Source organism: Homo sapiens, chromosome 12 (genome assembly GCF_000001405.40).
Source record: "Homo sapiens chromosome 12, GRCh38.p14 Primary Assembly".
Taxonomy (NCBI): domain Eukaryota; kingdom Metazoa; phylum Chordata; class Mammalia; order Primates; family Hominidae; genus Homo; species Homo sapiens.
The window spans coordinates 27,316,788-27,342,665 of NC_000012.12; the positions used below are offsets into that span (position 1 = coordinate 27,316,788).

The window sequence follows — 25,878 nt, forward strand, 5'->3', positions numbered from 1 at the left end:
TAGTTTACAAAACACATGCCGTTTATTGTTTCATCTTCATATCAACTCTATTAGGGCAGGTATTATTATTCTAGTTTTATGTAAGCAGAAGCTGAGCCTCAGAGAAATTGAATAATTTGCCCAAGAACACATTAGTAGTGAGTGGGGAAGCCAGGTCTTCTAGGTTCAACTTTTTCATTCTTTTTGAAATAGACTGAAGGCTATATATATAAATAACTTAACTGAGCTTCTTGTGGGGGCAGAAATGATATATTCTTATAAAATGCCTGGCACATATGGACACTCTATAAATATTTGTTCAACTAAGTGATGAAAGGAAAACTAATTCAGCATTCCCTCAGGAAAGTAAATAGACTGAAAAATAGTAGTCTATAACATATTATCTGACTCACTACCTACCACTAAGCCTTGCACATGATAAACATGCAAAATAAATACAAGTGAAAATTTAACTCCTCTATATATTGCTTTTTCCAGTAGTAAGCCATCCTCAGATAGATATTTTTTAAATGTTAAGAATGCTGGTTTGACGAGTTGCTCCTTTGTAGGCATATTCCACAGTTGGGACACCAGATTACATTGCTCCAGAAGTATTCATGCAGACTGGTTACAACAAATTGTGTGACTGGTGGTCTTTGGGAGTGATTATGTATGAAATGCTAATAGGTATGTTTTATCATTCATTTATGTACAAAATATATACATTTCCTTGAGTGCCATTGTTTGAACATATTACAGATATCATTGACTAAAATATTTGAAGTCTTTTAAGCTTAATTCTGATGTTCCCCCAATGTTAAATACATACTGATCAATACCAGTGAGCTCCCCACGGATCCTGTTTCAGGAAGGTGGGTATTTAACCCAAACTCCCACGTATAAAAGTGGTTATCTACATAGCTTTTCAGGTAAAAGGGGAGGCAGTGCTTTCAATCCTTTATTTTATTGACTTTATTAGCAACGTGATTGTAAATTGATGAATGGTGGCATTTTTGACTGTTAAATAGAGCACTCAGGGTTGTTTGGTTTCTTGTCGCACATGTTTGGTGGGTATAAACTTCACTGCTCACAAAGCTGATGAAACATTTTTGATTTATTTGATACATAGGATATCCACCTTTCTGCTCTGAAACACCTCAAGAAACGTACAGAAAAGTGATGAACTGGAAAGAAACTCTGGTATTTCCTCCAGAGGTACCTATATCTGAGAAAGCCAAGGACTTAATTCTCAGGTTAGTGGTTAAATTCCTAGAGGAGTTCATAGTGTCTTAAAACTTCCTAAGAACCTAAAAGACTCATTTCACTTTTGTGGGGGAAGAGGGGATACCACTGATGTATACAGTCAAAGAGATCAATAAAGGTGTTTTTAAAAATGTAAACTCTTAAAAGGAAGTATGCAGAAAAAAACGTAGGAATTAAAAAGAGGGAGGAAGTCTTGTATTGCTTCTGTTACTGATATATATAAAAGCAAAAGGTCACTTCTGTTAGAATGCAATGACCTGATTCCATTAAAGAGAAAAAGGAAAATGTTAATAGCAGATTCCTGTCATGAAAAGTATATATGTAAAATCTTCTAAGCAAAAAATTCCATGTGTTCCTCAACTAATATGAAGTGTTTTGGTACTGCTGTGAATGGCTGGAAGGAATATAAATTGGGACAACTTGTGGGAATAGCCAGTTGGCAGCATATTATTTTTTTAAAATCCCTAAACTATGTATGACCTTTGACCCAGAAGTTCTACTTCTAGGGATTTCGCTTATGCAGATAATCAGATACGTATAAAGATTTAGGTACACTATGATTTTCATGGTATTTAATAGTGAAAATTGAAAACTATTTAAATGTTCAACAGTAGTGGACTGGCTCAATAGTAGACTGTCTATAATACCTCTATATGTAAATTTTAGAAAACAAATTTATTGGCTGGGCACAGCAGCTCATGCCTGGAATCCCAACACTCTGGGAGGCCGAGTTGGGCAGATCACAAGGTCAGGAAATCAAAACCATCCTGGCTAACATGGTGAAACCCCGTCTCTACTAAAAATACAAAAAATTAGCCGGGCGAGGTGGCGGGCGCCTGTAGTCCCAGCTACTTGGGAGGCTGAGGCAGGAGAATGACATGAACCCGGGAGGTGGAGCTTGCAGTGAGCTGAGATCACGCCACTGCACTCCAGCCTGTGTGACAGAGCGAGACTCCGTCTCACAAACAAACGAAAAAAAAATTTATTGAAAAATATTTAATGACTTTGGCAAATTTTCTCAGTATATCAAGTGAAAAAAAGCAGACCTAACATAGTAACTATGGTAGCAACACAGTATTTTTAATATTGTAAAAGATTAGCATATTTACAGTAGTTATCTCTAAACAGTGCGCTTACAGATGATTTTTATTTTCTTCCACATTTCCTACAATAAACATAGTTAACATCAATAAAAGAAAAACATTATATTTCTTTAAAAAAGAAATATTTGAAGTAATGCAGCTAGAATACTTTAGATGTAACTTGTGTATGATAATTTCTCTGTTTCCATGTTGTAGATTTTGTATTGATTCTGAAAACAGAATTGGAAATAGTGGAGTAGAAGAAATAAAAGGTCATCCCTTTTTTGAAGGTGTCGACTGGGAGCACATAAGGTATGTTCCTAGGCTTTGAATGGGAAAGGTCTGAGTAAAAACAAATTTCTAGAGTTGGCAATTAATTTACCTCTGATTCTGCTAGATTAAATACAAAAGTAACATATAATGTCATTAAGTGCAGTGTTTTCTGGATTATGTAAGTGAGTGGGACTATTGTGGCTACAGCTTGATGACTCATTTTAGGCTAACATCCACTTTCAGGGAAGAACATTGGGAAGCTGTTTAAATTCTTATATTCATATTCACAGTGAAGGCTGTTAGCACATGAAACATGTATTTACATTTCACACAGTGACCCCTCATTTTTGTCCTTGCTGTAATATACCACATACTGTCTCCTTAATTAATTTATAATAAGGTACAGTCCCTCTTTAAACGGTGGTTGGGCATTAAATAATACAAGTAACTTTTAAGAATTTGCTTACAGTTGTTAATTGTGAGCATTGGCTTTTTTCAGTTTATGGCCAAACTACCATTGGTAGTTCTGATCTGTTCTCCACACAGCAACAGTTTAGAAGCATAAATCTGGCCATGCCACTTTCCTGTGGCCTTTTGCACTTGGAATACAGTTAAGAAGCCTTCACTGCTTTCTTAGGACTGCAGGATATGGCGATTGCCTCATCTGCAGGAGTTGCGTCTTGGATGGCCTCTCCTACTCCTCTTCCCACCTCTAAGTTTTGCTATTTGCTATCCATCCTGACTGAAATGCCCTCTCCCTGCTGCCTCTACCCCTACCCTGCCTAGCTGGCTCCTTTGCATCTTCCAAGATAGCTTATGTGTCATTTCCTTGGTACAGCTCTTCACTGGTGAACCTGCTGTGTGCTAGGCACTCTGCCTATTATTATTACTTATTTTTTTGAGACAGGGTCTCACTCTGTCGCCCAGGCTGGAGTGCTGTGGCATGATCATGGCTCACCGCAGCCTCGACCTCCAGGCCTCAAATGATCCCCCCACCTCATCCCCGCAAGTAGCTGGAACTATAGGCATGTGCCACCACACCCAGCTAATTTTGTTGATTTTTTTTTTTTTTTTTTTTTTGTAGAGATGGGGTTTCACCATGTTGCCCAATTGCCCAGGCTGGTCTTGAACTCCTGAGCTCAAGCGATCCACCTGCCTCGGCCTCCCAAAGTGCTGGGATTACAGGCGCCTAGCCCACTCTGCCTGTTGTAATAATAGCTAATTTTTAAAAATCATTTATTGTGTCCAGCACTGTTTTAAGTACTTTACTTGCGTTTCTCATCTTATCCTCATATAAGCTCTATAAAATAGGAACTGTTATTATCCCTGTCTTACAAGTGAGGAAACTAAGGCACAGAGAAGTTAAGTAATGTGACTATAGTGCTGCAGCTAGTAATTTTTTTTTTTTTTTTTTTGAGATGGAGTCTCACTCTGTCGCCCAGGCTGGAGTGCAGTGGCGTGATCTCGGCTCACTGCAAGCTCCACCTCCCGGGTTCACGCCATTCTCCTGGTGGAGGCCTAACTCTTAACCACTATGCTGTATAATACTATACACACATAACTTAATTGAATAGAACTAGAATACCCTCCCTTTTACAGTGGGAAGGATGCTTAGAGACTGCCAGTTCTTTTGGTTTTATAATGAGGGAACAGTCATGGAGCAGGGATTTGGCTGCCTAAGGTCATACTGCTAGTTAATAACAAGGAAGGTTAGCTCTCAGGCCTCCAGGGTTCTTTCCTCTAAACTAGGTTTATTAAAGTAGTATACTAAGTATAAATGAGTTGGAATAATTCTGGTAAAAAATATATATGGTTTTAAATAATTTGGTAAACTTAGCACCTAATAAATCCAATAAATATTTGTTGAAAAAACAGAAGCAATAAAAACTGATAGCTTCTTTTAACCATTTGTATAGCTAAACTTTTTAGCATGATAAGAAGGCATTTTCATGACTGGTTTCTTTTTAACTGAGTATCTTTGATTCTCTTAAAATTTGTATGACAGAAGTTTTTGCATGCAGATTTCATCACAAATATATAGTCCCTTCACCTATGTGCCCCTTATTTTCCCAAATGACTTTTAATTTATGGATTGTCTACTAGTAGAATTCTATTCCTAAATCAATTAAGAAGGATCCTGTCCTCATAATATCTCAAATACTTTATACAATTATACAATCTTTTAAATAAAACCTCTTCTTTTACTTTTCATTAGCTCATTTTTCCACTTAAAAAAATAGGATGAGAAAGCCTTGGGTACAGAGATATAAAAATGGCAAGTAGGTGGAGATGCTTAATGGATACAAAAAAAATAGAATGAATAAGACCTATTACTTGATAGCACAAGAGGGTGACTATAGTCAATAATAATTGTACATTTTAAAATAACTTAGAATGTAATTGGATTGTAACTCAAAGGATAAATGCTTGAGGGAATGGACACCCCATTCTGCACGATGTGCTTATTACCCATTTCATGCCAGTATTAAAACCTCTCATGGACCCTATAAATATATATACCTACCACATAACCCCAAAAATTAAAAAAATATTTAAAATTCTAAGTAAATGAAAACATTTTAATAAAAAATTATACTCAACTATTTTGAACTCCCTTTAACTAATCTCAAATCCACAATAAATTTCCTTGGATTTTCTAGTATCTGTAGAATAGTATGCAGAATTTACAAGTAGAATTATTTGTTGGAAATTGAGAGTTCAAGAAAAGTTACCATGCATACTTAATACCTTTTTATAGGGAAAGGCCAGCAGCAATCCCTATAGAAATCAAAAGCATTGATGATACTTCAAATTTTGATGACTTCCCTGAATCTGATATTTTACAACCAGGTAAGACAATCTGTAATGTAACTAACCCTATTAAAAGTCTTTGAAGATGATGGCATTTCACTAATGAAATTCCTTTATTTTTTCTCTTTCTAGTGCCAAATACCACAGAACCGGACTACAAATCCAAAGACTGGGTTTTTCTCAATTATACCTATAAAAGGTTTGAAGGGTTGACTCAACGTGGCTCTATCCCCACCTACATGAAAGCTGGGAAGTTATGAATGAAGATAACATTCACCCATAACCAAGAGAACTCAGGTAGCTGCATCACCAGGCTTGCTTGGCGTAGATAACAATACACTGAAATACTCCTGAAGATGGTGGTGCTTATTGACTACAAGAGGAAATTCTACAGGATTAGGATTTCTAAGACTACTATAGGAATTGGTTGGCAGTGCCAGCTGGCTCTTTTTTTTAATATTTTATTATTTTTGTTAACTTTATTATATGAAGGTACTGGAATAAAAGGAACAGACATCCCTTTCTAACTGCACTGCCTACATGCGTATTAAGGTCCATTCTGCCTGTGTGTGCTGTGGCTTTGAACTGTAACACCTCTAATCAATTCAGGAGAAACACATATCATTTAAAGCAACATAGGCTAACCTGTAGGTAACACTGCAGTATTGATGTTTTACTGCAAATCTTATGGGTCTAGATAATCAGTAAAAGCCATCTTCCATAGTTGGTGTTAGAACATTGCCCTATTGGTTTGGACATCTGTAGAATATATATGAAGACAATTTCTGTAATGGTTTTAAGAGATTTAAAAAGAAATTCACTGGTTCTTTACAAAATAGAATTTATCATCAAGTTATTACACAAACTTCACAGTAAGGAGTGACAAGTTTATAATAAGGAAGACAAAGTTTAACACCTTCACTCAAGCACTCCACTAATATATTTACGTTGCATTCAGAAATACTGATGACCTTCATATACGTAGTCTGTATACTCATAGGGAGATGTACTGTATTATATAACATGTAAAGTTGATTTTCTTGTGACAAGAGAACTTCTTTTTTTAACAAGAGGACATGGCATTATTTTAATTTGATTATGGTGAGTTGAATTTAAGACATGACCATGAAGGCTGCTTGTAGAATTAGTGTATTTTTATTAAACTATTTTTTTAAATGTCAAACTTCTATCATGTAAATGGACTTATAGAGAACAAAAAGCTATTTACTTTGGTTTTCTAGAAAGTTGTTACATATCATGGCTGGTTAACTTTTATTTCTTTTGATGAAAATTTTTCCTTTGATAGTACTTGTATTATTGTGCCATTATTTTCTTATGCTCCAAATGTACCAAAGATCTTGAACAGAGTGGATGTTCACAACTGAGTAGAATTTTCCTTTCCTGTGGGCATGCTGTATTCAGACCTGACAGATCTTTGATAGAGGTCAGCTTATTAAAGGGCAATATTGTTCTTGTTTAGCTACATCACTGTGGTGAATATAGATGGAATTAAGGAAGTAAATGCAGGCCAGGGGGTTGTGATGAGAGGATAGGGGAGATAATATCAGCATCAAATTCTTTGGGTATCTCTCTAAGAATTAAATAATCTTTTCTAGCTTAATATTTTAATTCTAATTCAAACAACTCTGAGGTTTTGGTTTCATTAGTAATAGTTGAGGAATAATATACTAGCAAAGAATGGCCTAATGTTTGTCATAACTGTTAATGGATGAAATTTTTTAAAGATACAACCATGATAACCATTATAAATGATCTATGATCAAAATCTAAAGTGATGAATTATTTGTAGGAATGTCTTCCTAATGGGGAAGAATTGCATAGGAGCATTATGCAAATCTACACAAGCTTTTATAAATGTTGCTGCTGGGTAGCTCCACAGTGTTTCATAAGGCCATCCTGTTTCCCCCAACTCCCCCATTTTTGGTTTGTTTCTTTTTAAATATTTGTTGAGTACTTACGTGTTTATCTAACAGTTCACTTCCATTTTTCTAGTCTGGATTTTTTGAGTATTTAGGAAAGAGAGCTATTAAAAACTGGGGATTTCTCAATGTGACTAACTCTAATTTTTCTAATTATAACTGCCTTTAATTAACATAATATTAACTTTTGCTGAGGTTTATGAGATTTTCTCACCCCACATCGCTCCCCTTTTTTTAAAAAGGACTGTTTTGCTAGTGTGATAATGAATAGGTAAGATATGAGATAATTGCAACATTGTCTAGTTCTAGTATGGTAACTATTCTTGAAATGGTATTGAAAAATACCGTTAATTCAAATTGACAGAGATTGATAAAAAGAAACTGATTTACCTAAGTTTACTTTTTAATTGCATAATAGAGCATTTTTTGTTTTGAGTTCCCTCATTCTTATTACCAGAAAGAGCTTGCAAATAGTTTTACTTTCTTGGCACTGGAAGGGTAGTTCTGGAAAGCTACTTTGTTGAGAGTCTCATTCTTCCCTGGAGTTAATAGAGTGATTCACAATCTTTGGGGTTTTCTCCTCATCAAAAGCATTTCTTAAGTGCCTATCTAAAAGCAATTAAAGACTGTGTCTGCCCTTTAGAAGCTAAGAATTTGATTCATGATGCAAATTAACTAGATAATTTGCAAAGTACCCTTGAGATTGAATTTTCTCTATTATATATTTCCCATATTTCAGGTGAATAATTTAATTTAAATGACAAAACCCTATCTAGTCAACTGGGCATAATGACATTTTCTTTAAATTAGACTCTATTTTGAATTAAAAGAGTTTTATTATAAACCGTGTGTTTTTGGTTTTTCTAAGTATATAGAAAGCTTGTATAATTCAGATTTATCAATTTCCTGATTTAATGTAGACTTTGACTTTTTTATTAAAAACCTTTGTATTAAAGCAAGTTATGTTATTTTTCTTTTATGCATTTATTACTAACATAGCTTTAAATCTTTAAATGTATTGAAGCATTGTGCTGTCTGAAAATAAGGAATTGCTTATAAACCAGCCACTTCTGAATACAATATGTAGCTGATTTAATAAGCTAGTTAGTGAATGGAAAATAAGTGTGGAGTATTAAAAATGTTCTTTGGTTGGTAAGGCCTAAGATAGGGTTTCATTTATTTCTATACTTTTTCTGTTTTTTAAACACCTGCATATTTTTATGTAAATCTCTAAATTTAAAATATTTTAAGTACATTTATTTTTGGTGTTTTATTGTATAAAACCTTAGACAATCAATCAGTCAGTCTTTACTGACAGGAGCAGCAGCTATCTGTCTTTTGCTGATCTACAAATAAATGAATTGAGAATTTAGTCCATAGAGGTCCCTGGCTACCAAACACATTCTCCTTTGAATTGTTAAAATTCAGAACATTCAAAATAACTGTTTTGCTACAACCCATGATTATTTTCCTGTTGTGTTTATTTAAATTTACTTTCTCTTTAGAAGTGCACTTATTTCTGAAAAATCTTAATGAAACAAACGCTTAGAACAAATATAAATATGAGACACTTGGGACTACTAGAGATATTTTAGATTTTTATGAAAAAAATGTGAGGGGATATTGCTGCTTTAAAAAGGAATAAAGTAATAAAAATATATCTCAGCTATTTTTTTAAAGCAATATAATTCAGCAATTGTCTAGAAAAGTAATCATGAGGCTACTGAGTTTGGTGTTCAGTTACTGAGTTTCAAAAATGTTTTGGTGGCATGAGGACAAAATTTCATTGAAGGTAAGATAAGAATAAAAACTATGTTTACAAAATTTCTGTTGATGAAGTTTTTTGGTTTTATTTTTGAGTTTTGAGATAGGTGTTACCCAAAACTCAAGAAAGACTATTTAGTTAATGTAAATTACTGTCTAACTTTTACACTTGAAGATCACATCAAGAACAAAATATTTGAAGTTTGTATTTAAAATCTCCATTCAAATCTGTAGCTAAAAACATATAGGCTACACGAACTGTGCTGTACTTTCAGGTACTTATTGGATGCATAGCTTATATACAACTATCCAACTTGGTCAAAACCAATTAGCAAGCACTAAATTGAAAATGCCTCAAAATAGCATAGGAATATGTGGCCCAGGTACCACTACCTCCCGTGCTGTGGAAGACACTGACAATCATCATGACTTTTTCCACTGAGCCTTGAGGAAGCCCGTGGGAATCCCATTCAGCCTCATTGTTCTCCAGCTGTTCCCTGACATACATCATTTCAATAATGCCACTGTCAGACACAACATTGAAAACACTGAATGTTAAAATTTGGGCATTACAGCAAACTCGGAGACTCTAAATTCATCTTTCAAAAACATCTAGTGATACAAAGAACTTATATTTGTACACAAAATGCCTTCACTTGTTTTTTACAACTACTCTGTAATTACATAATTACCATCATTTTATAGATGACCATGAGGCTGAGTGATTGTGACTTGCCTAAAACACAAGTAATAAGTTGCCCTTGAACCCAAGTCCAGTGTTCCCTACTCCTCCAAATCATAGAGTGAACTCCATTGACAAATTAACTTCATTGACAACTCATATGCTTCTAGGATCTCAGGAGTATACATGGAGTGATAGGGCCAGAGTTATTACTTTGCATACTTTTGACCACAAGTGACAGAAAACACAAGTAAAAATGGCTTCAATGATAAGGAAAGCGAGTATCTTATGTAACAATAAGACACAAGATAGCTTCCAGAGTAGTCATTTTAGCATCTCACAAACATCAAGGAATCCAAGAGCATGCACCTGTAGTCCCAGCTACTCAGGAGGCTGAGGCAGGAGGATCCCTTGAAGCCAGCCTGGGCAACCATAGCAAGACCCTGTTTTCCATTTCTCTACTTTGTCATGACAAGGGTGTTGGCTTTGTCCTTGGTCTTGTTTTCTCAGAGAAGCTAGATGACTACAGAGACTCTAAGCATCAAATCCTCACACAACAGGTAAGGCCTTAAAAAGAGAAATACTTCTGCATTTCCACTTTTTTTTTTTTTCTTTAAAAGAAAAAACAACAGAGTCTCACTCTGCGGCCCAGGCCGGAGTGCAATGGCGCGATCTCGGCTCACTGCAACCTTCGCCTCCTGGGTTCAAGCGATTCTCCTGCCTCAGCCTCCCAAGTAGCTGGGACTACAGGTGTGCGCCATCACGCCCAGCTAATTTTAGTTTTGTTTTTTTTTTTTTAATTTTTTTTTTTTTAGTAGAGACAGGGTTTCACCATGTTGGCCAGGCTGGTCTCAAACTCCTGACTCCAGGTGATCTGCCCACCTCGGCCTCCCAAAATGCTGGGATTATAGGCATGAGCCACCATGCCCGGCCTTGCATCTCCACTTTTTAAGAGCAAAGAAAATCTTTTCCAGAAGCATTCTAAGCAAAGTAACCCTCACATCTTATTGTCCATGACTGTGCCATCCATGTAGTCCTAAACCAGTACCTGATGGGCAATTGATTTAAAACTAATCAAGCATCACGTCCCTTCTACTGGGATGAGACTAACCTAAAGAACATGGCCACATGATACCAGAACCAAATTAGGGTGCTTTCGACAAACTACAAGGTAATCAAGATGATGCCACACAGGTTTATTGCAATGATTCTTACCTGAAGCCACGGCACCTAGATTGTGGTGTTGGATCTGCTGCCTACATCGGAACTGAAGGTTGGTCCATTAACATTTTTCACAGAACAGGATTGGGTCTCTGGACATCATACAGGAAGATGGACATCATACAAACAGGCCTTGGTCTTTTTAGTGCTTTTTCCATTCCTCCCAGATCCTATTCATCAGAGTAGATAATCTATTGGTCCATCTCCTCTAGAGCTCATATCAGAAATGGGGACCCTGATCAACTTATTTCCTCCCAAGATCCAGCCAAGGGTGGGGTGGTCTAATTACTATTAGCTCAATTGCTTTGTCAAAATTGGGAAGATGATCTCTGACTAATGAAAATTAAACATTTCTCAGGTGAGATTGCTAAACTACCATCAAGTTATCTGAATTACTTTACCTCTTAACATTCATGATCAAACTCCTAAACACAGGAAGACTTGTAAGTCTCTTCAAAAGGGAGAAACTCATGGTAGGAAAAGTAAACTGTCAATACTCAGCCTAATATCTTTTTTTTTTTTTTTTGAGACGGAGTCTCACTCTGTCGCCCAGGCTGGAGTGCAATGGCGTGGTCTTGGCTCACTGCTACCTCCACCTCCCAGGTTTAAGCAATTCTGCCTTGGCCTCCCGACTAGCTGTGATTAGGTTCCTGCCACCGTGCCTGGCTAATTTTTGTATCTTTAGTAGAGACGGGGCTTCACCATGTTGGCCAGGCTGGTCTCAAACTCCTGACCTCAGTGATGTGCTCGCTTGGCCTCCCAAAGTGCTGGGATTGCAGGCATGAGCCACCGCATCCAGCCTTTTTGTCTTCTTGGGTAAAAAAATCAGGAACAGAACTTGGAGAACCCTCTTGTATGATTGTATATAATACCGAGAGGACTGAGGAAGACTTGGGATACCATAACTGCTTTAAGAGTGTTTAAAAACTGTAAAAGTAAACATCAGTTGAGTTATTGATGCTTATACACACATACAAACGCATAATCCCTAAGGGAAAAAGTGTAAGCAACTCCACATAAAAGTAGATGTGTGCACAACTATTCCCTCATTCTTGTCCTAAGTTTTGTCCTTCCTTGCAGTTTGCTCAGAATTTTAGTATATTGCTATTCCTGTCCCTAAGAAATACTGCTTCTCTCCCCGCTGCTTCCCCGGTGTACATACCATACTGCAACAACCCAGCTTAAGAAAATTGATTTTTGATAAGTTAAAGCAGTATTTCCTAGATGAGAGTACTCAGAGCAACTTTCAAAATCAGCTAGGAAGCACATTTGAAATAAGGACTTAGTGTGATTCACCCCAAACCTACTAAATCAGTCTCTGGGGGTGGGTCTAAAATTGTGCACATTCTCATGTACATTGAATTTTGGGAACCACTGAGCTAACAGAAAAAGAAACTAATACCTGCTCATTGGTTTTTGTGAGAATATATATATATAAAGTAACTGATGCACAGTAGGTAAAATACAGAAGTCAGTGCTTACAACAGTGCCTGGCACACAGCAGGTGCTCAATAAATACATGTGAACAAGTTAATTAAATGACTATTTTTGTGGGTGGCCCTGCTTTCCACCTAAGGCCAATCTCAAAATGTTTTCACTTTTAATAAAAACATAAATACGACTCCAAAAGCATTGAGAAAATGAATGCAGCTTTTGCTGAAGTTGTTATTTTCCAGGGAAATAATGTAAGAGGGTTTGCATTACACAATGAAGTTCCCTAAATACCGCTTTAAGATATCTCAAATTTCCTGGCTAGGTGCAGTGGCTCACGCCTGTAATCCCAGCACTTTGGGAGGCTAAGGCAGGCAGATCACATGAGGTCATGAGTTCGAGACCAGCCTGACCAACATGGTGAAACCCCGTCTCTACTGAAAATACAAAAAATTTAGCTGTGTGTGGTGGCACATGCCAGTAATCATAGCTACTCAGGAGGCTGAGGCATGAGAATCGCTTGAACCCAGGGAGGCAGAGTTGCAGTGAGCCGAAATCACACTACACTCCAGCCTGGGCGATAGAGCGAGACTCTATGTAAAAAAAAAATTAAAATTAAAAAAAGATAGCAAATTTCCTCTCCTTAAGGCAGCTGCACCACCTCCTTTACCACCCTCTCTGTCTCAGGAATGCTCTGTCCTCCAATTACCTCTCTGCTTTTCCTTCCCTTAGACCATGCTCAAGCTCATCTTTCCTATACCAGAAGCCCACCATAGATCCTCTTCTCTCTCTAAACATATGGGAGAGTGTTGGCCTACTTGTTTCTCCAAACTGCACTCATCAATCTGCCCAGCAAATCCAAGCATCTTCCCCAGGATTCACCCTCCACAGGATGCTGGGGGCAGGGTAGGAAGAAAAGGTAGTTTTAAACATTAATAATTTATTTTCCCCAGTCACTTAGGAAATCAATAATGGGTAGTTGCTATTTATTTATTTATTTATTTGAGATGGAGTCTTGCTCTGTCACCCAGGCTGGAGTGCAGTGGCGTGATCTCAGCTCATTGCAACCTCCCCCTCCTGGGTTCAAGCAATTCTCCTGCCTCAGCCTCCCGAGTAGCTGGGATTACAGGTGCCCGCCACCACACCCAGCTAATTTTTTGTATATTTAGTAGAGACGGGGTTTCACCGTGTGAGCTAGGACGGTCTGCACATCCTGACCTCGTGATCCGCCTGCCGTGGCCTCCCAAAGTGCTGAGATTACAGGCGTGAGCCACCATGCCCGGCCTATGTAATGTTTTTTTTTTATTTACCATCTTTACCATTTTAAGTGTACAGTTCCCAATGGTAATAAATATATGTTCAGCCTTCTTTTCCCCTTGTTGTTTTCCACCCCCTCTTCTCTCCCCTTCCTGGCTTCTGTGTTATTTATTGTTATGCATCATTGGAAATAGTATCTTCAATTTAATTACACTCTGAAGCAGGTGTGGTTTTTTGTTGTTTTGGGTTTGGGTTCTATCTTGTTGTTTTTTGTTGTTGTTGTTGTTGTTGTTGTTGTTCTTGGACCAAATACAATATCTAAGTGGCTTTAGGGACTCCTCTCTAATCTAAGTTATATTGTTACAATCCCAGCAGAATGCTAAAAGGACAGGAGTTTACAGCTTGTGAGGCCGTGGTTCCTAATTCCAGATGGACAAAGGAGTATTTGTTCCACCTTTAAAATATTTGTTCTTGCCTGAGTACTTAGCAATGAAAGAAAATTAATGAACAAATTAAGTGAAAGGCAAGCAATGATTCCTGGAGAGCAAGGCAGCTCCAGGGCTTTTGGCAGGGGAACCATGCTGACCAGAAGGAACTGTGTGCATTCTATTACACAAATTCTCTAGCATTCTATTATACAAATCATCCAATCACCTTTCTCACATTTTTTTTTCCAAGTTGAAAATATGAGAAAACCACTCACTGGAAATGAGAGATTACCTTCCTATCCATCTGGCAAGACATTATATGTCTCTCTGCCTTATCCTATGGGTTATATAGCTACTCTTTAAAAAACAAAAAAATCATGTCTTAGAAAGTAAAGCTCCAGAGCATAAAGAAAAAAAGAGAGCAAGCAGGCTTTAAACCTGAGCAGTAAGGGGAATACCTATTAAGCAATGAAAGGGTTGTGCCCCATGGAATGCTGTAGGTCGGCTTTGTTTGTGCATTATTACCCTTCCTGCTTTCGTATTTTAGATTCTGGATTCCCCTTCTCTTGCTTTCAGGCTTTGGTGGAAGTGAATCATCGTTTCTAAGAAACGGGGACTGCAATGATTCACAGGCAAGCTTACTGGACACCACAATAGGAACTCCTAAGAAGGAGACCTAACTTTTATGGTCTTGCTTCTACTATCTACTAGCTGAGTGATCCTGGCCAAAATACTCGACATCTCTGAACTTCTGTTTCTCTACTAAGACAGGAATTAAGAAAGAGGTTGTGAGGCTCACTGAGCCGATAAGGGGGAAAATGCATTGTAAGCAAGGCCATGTATAGAATAGTATTTACATTTTAACCCAGATCTTAAAGCCCAGGTCTAATTAATTCTACCTGTTACCCCTTGGTAAACCACCTCAAAATAGTGTACACTTGTCTGGAAAGCCAAGGTTTGATCACATTCGGGAAACCCTGTATGGAATTACTGTTTCTAGCTGCCAGGAGAAGTTGGTGTTGGTAGAATTTGGGGTGGAGTTCCAAGTCAAAGCTAGGAATGAGACGTTTCAAGACTGGTTTTGATTAGGGATGTGTCTTGGTGTGTGTTGAGGACAGCACAGTTTTCAGCACGTCTCCCTTACCTCTAAAGTCCTAGCCCCTGCTTAAGCCTGCAACAGTTTTCTCCTGTCATGCCCACTTCTGCTTGGGAACACACTTCCAAACCCTCTGCCCAGCCTCTCACAATGGCCCTAAGTACTGCCCTGAGGACACATAAGGTGCTGGTTAAGACGTTGGAATTGAGTCCTTGTAGGAAAGTTATTACCTTTAGGCTGGTTGCAAAGTTTGATTTGGTGTCTTCTCTACTGTGACTTTCCTTTACTTACTTCTACTAGATTACCAAGGAATGGGTCTAGGGACCAGTGGGAGGGCAGCAAACCAGTGTATTCTAGACACGTGGCCATAGGATGTAGGGCTGTCAAGTGATGCCCAAAAGATCTTGTTTCTGGATTTACCCAACCGTTCCAGGAGGCAAAACGGCTTCCTCGGGACCCTCTCTCTGTCATCTACACTCTCGTCTCTGCAGCTAAGCCCTTCCTTAAGCAGAAAAGAGCAGGGTCTCTCGTCCAGCACCCTCCTCCCCAACCCTAGCCCCGTGCCCTCCGCTAACCCACCGTGCAATTATCTTCATTCATCCTTTACCTTTGCCCCGAGGGTCTAACAACTGCAATCTTCGGAATGCTGGGACAAAGCTTACTATGAGCATGGAAGCCTGTTTTCAATAGGGTGGTTGCTAGAAGGACTCAACTGGCCTTTTAGTGCTTTGCTGCTCGCGGGAGGGCTCGGCGGGGCGGTGTCCGCAGCGACTCCGCCCTTGGCCCGGGTCTCTTTCCCGCCGGGAAGCCCCGCGGCGCCCAGAGCGGCGGGCGGCTGGCTCCAGTCCGCATGCTCAGTAGCTGCTGCCGGCCGGGCTGCGGGGCGGCGTCCCGTGCGCGCCTACGGGCTGCGGTGGCGGCCGCCGCGGCACCCGGCAGGGCCCGCCAGTCCCCGCTTCCCTGCTCCAGAGCCGCCGCCTGGGCCGGGGCAGGGCGGGCCCGGGGCTCCTCCATGCTGCCAGCCGCGGGGCTGCGGAGCCGACCAAGTGGCTCCTGCGATGGCGGCGGAAGAGGAGGCTGCGGCGGGAGGTGAGGTTGCCGGTGGCGAGGCGACGGCCCCAGGTGGGCGCGCGGCGTCTGACGCGCTGGGGGCGTCCCCGCGACGCCAGGTCTGCCCCCGCTGCCCCGAGGGAAGCGCCCGCGCCTGTCCTCTCGGGCCGGAGCATCGCCTCCGAGGGGCGGTGGGACAAGGCCGCCCCGTGGGGCACAGGTGCGGCGCGGCGCCCGGCGCGTCCTCCCGGGGAGCGGGACGCGGGGAGGGGAGCTGGGGTCGCCGCCGGCGCTCAGGACGCGGTGTCTTGGTCCCGGGCCGGGCGCATTGGCGAAAGGGAGCCAGCGGGGGACCTTGCACCCGGCGCTGGGAGCATCCGCCTCCACCCACTGCTGGGCGCCCGCGTCGGCGTCGGCATGGCATGCACTGCTGCGGGGACTTCCTATATTTCTTCTTTCTTTTGTGTAAACCAGTTGTCAGCAGCCTCGGACCTAGCCCGGTTCCTGTGAACCCCTCCCCTCTGAGCTGATAATACTCGCGGCTTCCCGGCTTGAACCGCTGCCCCGCGGTGGAGCGCGCAGGTGGGCAGGTGCGCGTGGACGCGGGGCCACACTCCGGGATCGCAGCCCGCTCCGCGACAGCCCTCCATAAGCGACAGGCGGCTCGTGTCTTTCACCGCTGAAGCTTCAGGAAAGCCGTCAGTGGAGTTAGCTTGTTCGATTATGTATTTCTGTGGTATTTTTGTGAATGGAGTTGGAAGTTTGCGGTGCTTTTTCCTTCTCGCTAGTATTCACTGGCAGTATTCTGTAGTTCCTTACAACGGGGCCTTTGGGACCACTGCTCACAATTACGGAATGAATACAAAATAGCTGTTGTTTAAGACAAATGAGAGGCAGGAAAACAGAAATAACTGAAGGAAGACTGGCAGAGAAGTTCAGGGAAGCAGTTAATTCTCCCCTTTCCTTTTGGAATAAGATGATAGAGTTTTAGATTCTTCTCTGAAATAAGGCAATGAGAGGAGGTGGCTTTCGAAATTCTAATATAATTGTGGGAATTTACATCATGGGGCGATTTCAGAAATTCGATCATTTGAATATTCGTAGTCTTAGGTAAACCCTTTGTTGAAAATAGAAGATGGCACGTGTGGTGTTTATAAGCTCTGACACCCTTTCTGCTCCGTCTTGTGACTGAGCTCTGCCCTTTACTGTCTGTGTCACCCAGGTTATTTGAAATCTCTTAGTCTAAGTTCCCCCATCTGTAAAATGGAGATAACTATGCAGTCTGCCTTATAGGATTGTTAGGAGTAAATGAGATATGAGATATGAATGCAAATAAAATGCTTAGCCCAATACTTAGGAAATAGTAAGTGCTTCATAAAACATTAACTTAATGTAGTTATTAATTTACAACTTCAATTTGCTTTGTGAAATTGGTGAGTGCTGTCTGGTCCATTAAGAAAGTGTTGTCCCTTGTGAGTTAAAATTGGCCAAACTGAAAGGAAGTGAAAATGCACCTACTAATTCAAAGAAAATGCACCTACTAATTCCCCAGATAAGTCTTACGAACTTACAACAAGCTTTTAGATAAAGTTTAATGCTATTTATCTAACTATTTTAGATTAATAGTTTATTGCTCTTTGCATACCAAATGTAAAGCTGGGAATAATAAAAATTAAATTTTCTTAATTAAGGGTAGCAATGTTTCTGTGCGGGCTGGGAGAGCCCGCAGGTATGAGTACCTAAGATGTCACAGACATTTCACAGGGGTGCTTCTGTTAGTCTTACAACAGCGTTGTGAGGTAGGTAGTATCTCCATTTCACAGATGAGAAAACTGAGGCTGGCTCACAGTTATACAGCCAGGACATGACAGAACTAGAGTTAAAATCCATGGCTGTCGCCCATACTCCTTTCTTTTCTTTCCCATCTGACTTGGTGGTGCTAATGAGCAAGTGTGCTCACTTCCAGACACCTGCTTATCTAAAGAGTAGTAAAAAATAGAACGCTCAACGAAACCTCTAGGAGGAAAAAATGTATATGTATTTTTACTATTTCTCCCTATTCCCAGAGGGAAAACAAAAACAGGCCTCTGGGCCAGTTGGTGGCCATCTACAAAACTAGCCCTAAGGTTTTGTTTTGCTTTGTTTTGTTTTGTTTTGTTTTGTGTTTTTTTAACAGTGTAAACCAAACTATGGGTTTCCCCACCCCATCAGTTTTAGATGGTAAACACCGAAATTGAGCATGCTGCCAAGTGACTGGGTGTCCTCCTAATAAATGATTCCAGAATCCTTGGGGTAGGAAGAGGGCAGTCTTGGGGAGCAGCACATTTCCAAGACTCACTGCCAGAGATGGTCTGGGGTTGAGGCCTCTGTGGGGCAGCTTTCTCACCTTCCGTTTTCTTACCAGCTCATGTTTTCACCTATGATAGTGTAAGATCCAATTCTTTTACATGTAGTTCTGCAATTACAGTGGTTTAAATTTACTTTGTGAGTCAGAAATCAAACGTCATGTCCCAATCAATTTTGCCTAAGCTCCTGTTACTGGCATGGATCCTTGGGCAAAATTTCAGCCAGAAATGCATTATTCAAGATAAACCAGGATGGGCTAATTACTTTTCACATATTTAAGGGGGAGGAAAATAGAGAAGGAAAGAGAGAAAGAGTGAGAGGAGGGAGAAGGCAAGAGAGGAGGTGTGAAGTAAAGAGAGGAGGAGAGGGGAAAGGAGGAGGAAGGAGAGAGTGAAGGAAGGAGAAGGGGAGGAGGGGAGGGACTGCCACTCCATCAAAGTTTGACTCCAGGAAAAACAAAAACTAACGTTTAAAATATATAGGGAAAGCCAAAATATCAGTAGGAGAATACAGTGATTTCAGTTTACTTTGTCCTTGTGAAATGACTCCCTAGTTCTAAAAAGCATGATGTTCTGTGCTGTGAACATTGAGGTAGCATCCTTTTGAAATCTCCATTTGTGTCATGTTCAGGAAATCATAAATGAGCAAATAACAATTCATTCTGGTAGCCCTAGTTTTCAGTTGTCTCATTTAATTGAAGACCTCCACTTCTCTGCATTGACAACTGAGTTACTCGGGTGCTTGGGGTCTGGGTCATTAGTCAGCATCATCATGGTCATAAGCATTTTCAGGGACCTCAGAGTGTGCCATGTGCCCTACAGGAGGCAAGGGCACCTGAGACATCCGCCTGTTCTGTGAGACAGTGATTTCCTGCCCTGGTTTTTGCAAGGTTACTACCTGTAGTGGCTCCCCTGGTTCTCAGCATCCCAGCCCTCTGTAGCCCCTGCCTTGCCCAGTGCCTCACCCCTTCCCAGTGGCAGGAGCCAGTGGGAACTAAGAGCCTTCAGTGTAAGCCCTTATTGGAGCTAGGACTGCAGGTGAGATATGTTCTCTGTAGTAGCGTGTAGTATTTCTAGATATTTACTGATAATTTATGCAATACTTAGCTATGTATGCCCTGCCGCACCCTGTTTCCTTCTCTTACTCAGGTGCTGTCACACTTACTGGTCCCTGACACATACTGTTTACATTGTATCACACTAGGCTATAATATCCCATTTACCCACCCAATTTTTTAACTTAAAATATTTTTAAACCTGGCTGGGCGCGGTGGCTCACGCCTGTAATCCCAGCACTTTGGGAGGCTATGGCAGGTGGATCACCTGAGGTCAGGAGTTTGAAACCAGCCTGGCCAACATGGTGAAACCCTGTCTCTACTAAAAAATACAAAAATTAGTCCGGCGTTGGTGGTGCGTGCCTGTAATCCCAGCTCAGGAGGCTGAGGTGGGAGAATCACTTGAACCTGGGAGGCAGAGGTTGTAGTGAGTCGAGATCATTCCACTGCACTCCAGCCTGGGTGACAGAGCGAGACTGTCTCAAAAAAAAAAAAAAAAAAAAAAAGTATTTTAAACTTCCTTAAAACTTCTTAAAATCAGTTCAGTTATACAGTGTTAACATTCTCACCTGAAAATACTTAAATGGTTGGCATGATAGGAAATTTGACATTTATGTAGCTAAATTATTTGTATTTCATTTCTCTAGTCTTTAATCTTATGGTTTAAATCTCTAGATGGTACCATTACAGCGAGATTAAAAACAAAGAAGTCTAAAGGAAAAGGAAATGTAAAGAGAATCATTCTTCCACTCTATGCTTTGCATTAAAGGATATTTAGAATTGAAGGTTAAGACTATTGTGATAAAACAATAACTTCCAAGACATTCAAAGTGTTTTACTTACAACATTTCATACATTTTTAAGTAGATTAGAAATATACTTTATCATATTTTCCAAGCATATCACAGGGAAAGTAGAGAATCATCTACTACCCTTCTTGACCAAAGTGCCTCCACCTTTGCCCCTGTGATATGTCCTATACTCAATTATGTGAAGGAACCTGCCTTTCCCCAACATAATGTACACTTTCCCACCTCCAGGCCTTTCCTCAGGCTGTTGGCTGTTCCTGGAATACCCCTGCCCTCCCTCTAGATGGGTCTGGAGAATCTTAACCAATCAAGCTTGAAGGCTGAGCGCAGATGTCACTTTTTTTGTATGTGTGGAGGAGGAGAACTGGTGTGGGAAAATCAATATAAGCTTTGGAACTAGGCCACTGGGCTTGTGATTTCTGGTTTCATTACTTGTCAGCTTTGTAAACTTGGTCAAATTTTAAAACTTCTCTGAGCCCCAATTTCCTTATCTGTAGAATAGGGGTAAAAATACCTAACTTGGAAGGTTGTTTTGGGAATTAAATGAGATAATGATTACAAACTGTTTAATGAACTCTGACCTTCAACAAATGATTTTCCCCTTTTCCTCATGCAACCTTCCCAGAATCTCCTCGTCACCCAAATTGAAATTATTCTCCCCTCCTATTTTCACACTGTAGTTTTTTTGTGTGCCTATGATAACACTTGTGCCTGTCTGCCACAAGTTATTTGGTTTCTTAGCTCCACCCTTAAGTTGCACATTGCCAGGAGGCCAGAATTGGTTCTTACTCAGCTTTATAATCTCCAATTTCTTGCACCTATTAAGTGCTTAATAAAGGCTTGCAGATTTTGAATGAAGAATAGTTTGCTTAAGGTGTGGAAAGGGTTAGTTCATTCTTAAAGGACCCATTAAATACGCACTATTTACTAGGCAAACAGAGAAGCAGAAGTGGATAAAGCAGGAGAAGGGGTTAAAGAGCTTACAAAATCTATTAGGCTGGGTGAGAAATGCAGCCAAAATATTTGTAATATAAGGTAGGCACATGGTACAATATATGGGCTAACTGTTAGGAGTTAGTCTCCTCCCCCACAGTTGGGAGAAATTATATCTAGTTCATGAAAGAGGGACCACAGAAGGCTTTCAGAGAAGGGGTTAATTTTAGTATCGATGGAAAGACAACTCTTGGAGAGGCAGCCAAAAAAAAAAAAGGTTTGGGAGGGGGTCTTCCAGGGAACAGAGTAGGCATGGAAATGGAAAATCACCAGTGACATGCACAGAAGAATTGATGTTAGTATCCTTTGGCTTTGGATAGGAAAACTGAAAAGGAAAGAACTGGCCTACTGAAAAGTTTCATCATTTTCTATTGGGCTTCCCCTCCAAGGTCTGTGATGAGGCATGGACAGTGAACACAGGCAGCCTGTCTTACACATAGGTGAGTTTCCTGCTCTACAAAAGGAAAGATACATGCATCTTCTTTTTGGTTCCTGGCAGGCAACAGAACTTTTAAGTCACCTTGAAAGGCAAATTATGGCATATTTCTGATCAGTAAGAAAGCCGGAAAGCTCACTGATTCCTGGTTCCTGCCAGATGGTTGTCTCTTAGGTCTTAGTCTTCACTCCAAGTTATCTGGGCCCCTTCTCTCTTTCATCTTTTCTTTCCTGAAAAGGGAACTACTACTATCTTTTTTTTAACTTTTATTTTAAGTTCAAGGGTATATGTGCAGGTTTGTTATATGGGTAAACTCGTGTCACAGGGGTTTGTTGTACAGGTTATTTCATCATCCAAGTATTAAGCCTAGTACCCATTAGTTATTTTTTCTGATCCTCTCCCCTCTCCAACCTTCCACCTTCCAATAGGCCTCAGTGTGTGTTGGTTCCCTCTGTATGTCCATGTGTTCTCATCATTTAGCTCCCACTTATAAGTGAGAACATGTGGTATTTGGTTTTCTGGTCCTGTGTTAGTTTGCTAAGGATAATGGCCTCCAGTTCCATTGATGTTCCTGCAGAGGACATGATCTCATTCTTTTTATGGCTACATAATATTCCATGGTGTATATTTACCACATTTTCTTTTTCTAGTCTACCATTTATGGGAACCTAGGTTGATTCCATGTCTTTGCTGTTGTGAATAGTGCTGCAATGAAATATGCATGCATCTTTATAATAGAACAATTTATATTCCTTTGGATATATACACAGTAATCGGATTGCTGAATTGAATAGTAGTTCTGTTTTTGGCTCTTTGAGGAATTGCCACACTGCTTTCCACAATGGTTGAACTAATTTACACTCCCACCAACAGTGTATTAGCATTCCCTTTTCTTTGCAGTCTCACCAGTATCTTACTTTTTGACCTTTTTTTTTTTTTTGAGACGGAGTCTCGCTCTGTCACCCAGGCTGGAGTGCAGTGGTGCGATCTCTGCTCACTGCAAGCTCCGCCTCCCGGGTTCATGCCATTCTCCTGCCTCAGCCTCCCCAGCAGCTGGAACTACAGGTGCACGCCGCCATAATAGCCATTCTGACTGGTATGAGGTGGTAATCTGATTGTGGTTTTGATTTGCACTTCTCTAATAATCAGTGATGTTGAGCTTTTTTTTTAATATGCTTGTTGGCCACATGTATGTCTTTTGAAAAGTGTCTCTTCATGTCCTTTGCCCACGTTTTAATGGAGTTGTTTGTTTTTTCCTTGTAAATTTAAGTTTCTGATAGATGCTGGATATTAGATCTTTGTCAGATGCATAATTTGCAAAAAGTTTTCTGCCATTCTGTTGTAGGTTGTCTGTTCACTCTGTTGATAGTTTCCTTTGCTGTGTAGAAGCTCTTTGGTTTAATTAGATCCCATTTGTCAATTTTTCCTTTTGGCACAATTGCTTTTGGTGTCTTGCATAATGAAATCTTTGCCTGTTCCTATGTCCAGAATGGTATTTCCTAGGCTGTCTTTTGGGTTTTTATGGTTTTGGATTTTACATTTAAGTCTTTAATCCATCTTGAGTTGGCTTTTGTATATGGCATAAGGAAGGGGTTCAGTTTCAGTCTTTTGCATATTGCTAGCCAGTTATCCCAGCACCATTTATTGAATAGGGAGGGAGTCCTTTCCTGGTTGCTTGTTTTTGTCAGCTTTGTCGAAGATCACATGGTTGTAGGTGTGTGGCCTTGTTTCTGAGCTCTCTATTCTGTTCCAATAGTCTATATGTCTGTTTTTGTACCCCTCCCATGCTTTTTGGTTACTGTTGCTTTGTAGTATAGTTTGAAGTTAGGCAATGGTGATACTTCCAGCTTTGTTCTTTTTGCTTAGGATTGCCTTGGCTATTCGGGCTTTTTTTTTGGTTCCATATGCATTTTAAAGTAGTTTCTTCTGGTTCCGTGAAGAATGTCATTGGTAGTTTGATAGGAATAGTATTGAAACTACAAACTGCTTTGGGTAGTAGATAGTCCATTTTAACAATATTGATTCTTCCTATCCATGAGCATGGAATGTTTTTCCATTTTCTGTGTCATCTCTGATTTCTTTGAGCAGTGTTTTGTCATTCTCATTGTAGAGATTTTTCCCCTCCCTGTTAACTGTATTCCTATGTATTTTATTCTTTTTGTGGTGGTTAAGAATGGGACTGCATGCCTGATTTGGCTCTCAGCTTGACTGTTGTTTATGTATCGGAATGCTAGTGATTTTTGCACATTGATTTTGTATCCTGAGACTTTGCTGAAATTATGCATCGGCTTAAGGTGCTTTTGGCCCGAGACTATAGGGTTTTCTAGATACAGAATCATGTCATCTGCAAAAAGGGATAGTTTGACTTCCTTTCTTCTTACTTGGATGCCCTTATTTCTTCCTCTTGACTGATTGCTCTGGCGAGGACTTCTAATACTATGTTGAGTAAGAGTGGTAAGACAGGACATCCTTGTCTTGTGCCAGTTTTCAAGGGGAATGCTGCCAGCTTTTGCTCATTCAGTATGATGGTATTATGTTGGCTGTGGGTTTGTTGTAGATGGCTCTTATTATTTTGAGGTATGTTCCTTTAATACCTATTTTGTTGAGGGTTTTTAACATCAAAAGGTGTTGAATTTTATCAAAAACCTTTTCTGCATCTGTTGAGATAATCACGTGGTTTTTGTCTGTAGTTCTGTTTATACAATGAATCATATTTATTGATTTGCATATGTTGAACCAAACTTGCTCCCCACGGATAAAGCCTATTTGATCATGGTAGATAAGCTTTTTGACGTGCTGCTGGATTTGGTTAGCGCAGCTACTTATCTCTTTAAATATACTTCACATTCTTCTGAAAAGCATAAGTACTATTTCATTTATTTCCGTGACAGCCTATTGGGAAGCAGGTATCTGCACTTTCCACATTTATTCGGCATAATGACCTATGTTGTTCTACCATCCCCATCACTCTGTGCCCTTGATGTGGGTACGTGCTCCAGATATGCTCGCAGAAAAGAACCTGGAGCACTTACAGACTTTTCCTGTGCAGTTCCATGGGACAAAGCTGAAGACCCTCAGCCTTGACTTCCGATACAAACACTTAATGAAGGTTTTTAAACAATAAGAAATCCGGTGCCCTGTGTCTGAACATACTCCTAATATGAAAAGAGCACTCATGGAAACAGCTAAGTGTGGTGACATCAGGAGATGTCTTGTTTGTTTGTTTTGTTTTTATTTATTTTTTTTATTTTTGAGACAGAATCTCACTCTGTCGCCCAGGCCAAAGTGCAGTGGTGTGATCTCGGCTCACTGCAACCTCCACCTCCTGGGTTCAAGCAATTCTCATGCCTCAGCCTCCCGAATATCTGGGACCACAGGTGTGCACCACCACAGCCAGCTAATTTTGTATTTTTTTAGTAGAGACGTGGTTTCATCATGATGGTCAGGCTGGTCTCGAACTCCAAGCCTCAAGTGATCTGCCCACCTTGGCCTCCCAAAGTACTGGGATTACAGGCATGAGCCACTGCACCCAGCCAGTTGTTCTTATTTTAATTCAGTTACAATGCAGAGGAACTCTGTCTTAGAAGTTACTTGTAAACAGAAACTCTATATATCAAAATACATTGTCTCTTATTTAGAAGCAGAGAATATAGCGAGAATATGTTATTGTGCCAATAGAGTACTTAAGCTATAAGTGTATTTTATAGAAATGCAGATTTTAAGAGATAGATCAGTATACATCTGATCTGTAGATTGAATCTATACCATCCATACAGTAGATGGGATTGAAATTGATTGAATACTTGACAGAGGGCATTATCAATAGATGTTAAAAGGAATAGAAGATTATCCAGACTAATAATTGTTTTGTTAAAGATCTAGAGAAAAGTTTTGATGAAACAGTGAACACAGTTTCCAGCTCTATCTTCTTTCCTTGAACACGTACCAGCTCCCTGGTTGGAG

The 25,878-nt window shown here is 40.1% G+C and overlaps 2 protein-coding genes and 1 long non-coding RNA gene across 18 annotated transcripts in view, besides 2 other annotated features; 2 read left to right on the top strand and 1 right to left on the bottom strand.

Moving 5' to 3' along the window:
* Positions 1 to 9,172, top strand: part of STK38L (serine/threonine kinase 38 like) — an 81,674-nt gene extending 72,502 nt beyond the window's left edge. The window contains exons 10-14 of the mRNA NM_015000.4: positions 549 to 666; positions 1,109 to 1,232; positions 2,541 to 2,636; positions 5,356 to 5,447; positions 5,541 to 9,172. Of these exons, the coding sequence (NP_055815.1) occupies positions 549 to 666; positions 1,109 to 1,232; positions 2,541 to 2,636; positions 5,356 to 5,447; positions 5,541 to 5,668 (558 nt within the window). The 3' untranslated portion in view covers positions 5,669 to 9,172. The remainder of the gene's footprint in view (positions 1 to 548; positions 667 to 1,108; positions 1,233 to 2,540; positions 2,637 to 5,355; positions 5,448 to 5,540) is intronic.
* A 1,803-nt stretch (positions 9,173 to 10,975) lies between these two features.
* On the bottom strand, positions 10,976 to 16,010 carry LOC124902906 (uncharacterized). Its single transcript, XR_007063255.1, has 2 exons — positions 15,835 to 16,010; positions 10,976 to 11,185 (listed from the first exon to the last, which is right to left on the bottom strand). It is a non-coding gene; the product is annotated as an uncharacterized LOC124902906 (long non-coding RNA).
* Positions 15,933 to 16,402: a silencer, noted in NCBI's record as "silent region_4310". NCBI's record gives its function as "represses an Ori minimal core promoter by ATAC-STARR-seq in GM12878 lymphoblastoid cells {active_cell/tissue: GM12878}" and the evidence as "EXISTENCE:reporter gene assay evidence [ECO:0000049][PMID:35858748]".
* BMAL2 (basic helix-loop-helix ARNT like 2) overlaps positions 16,049 to 25,878 on the top strand; it is a 92,451-nt gene continuing 82,621 nt past the window's right edge. For 8 of the 16 annotated variants that reach the window (NM_001394524.1, XM_011520768.3, NM_001394525.1 and 5 more), the window contains exon 1: positions 16,049 to 16,349. In NM_001394524.1, the coding sequence (NP_001381453.1) occupies positions 16,286 to 16,349 (64 nt within the window). In that variant the 5' untranslated portion in view covers positions 16,049 to 16,285. The remainder of the gene's footprint in view (positions 16,350 to 25,878) is intronic. The other 8 variants (NM_020183.6, XM_047429171.1, NM_001248002.3 and 5 more) reach the window with 1 other exon arrangement.
* Positions 16,423 to 16,542: a silencer, noted in NCBI's record as "silent region_4311". NCBI's record gives its function as "represses an Ori minimal core promoter by ATAC-STARR-seq in GM12878 lymphoblastoid cells {active_cell/tissue: GM12878}" and the evidence as "EXISTENCE:reporter gene assay evidence [ECO:0000049][PMID:35858748]".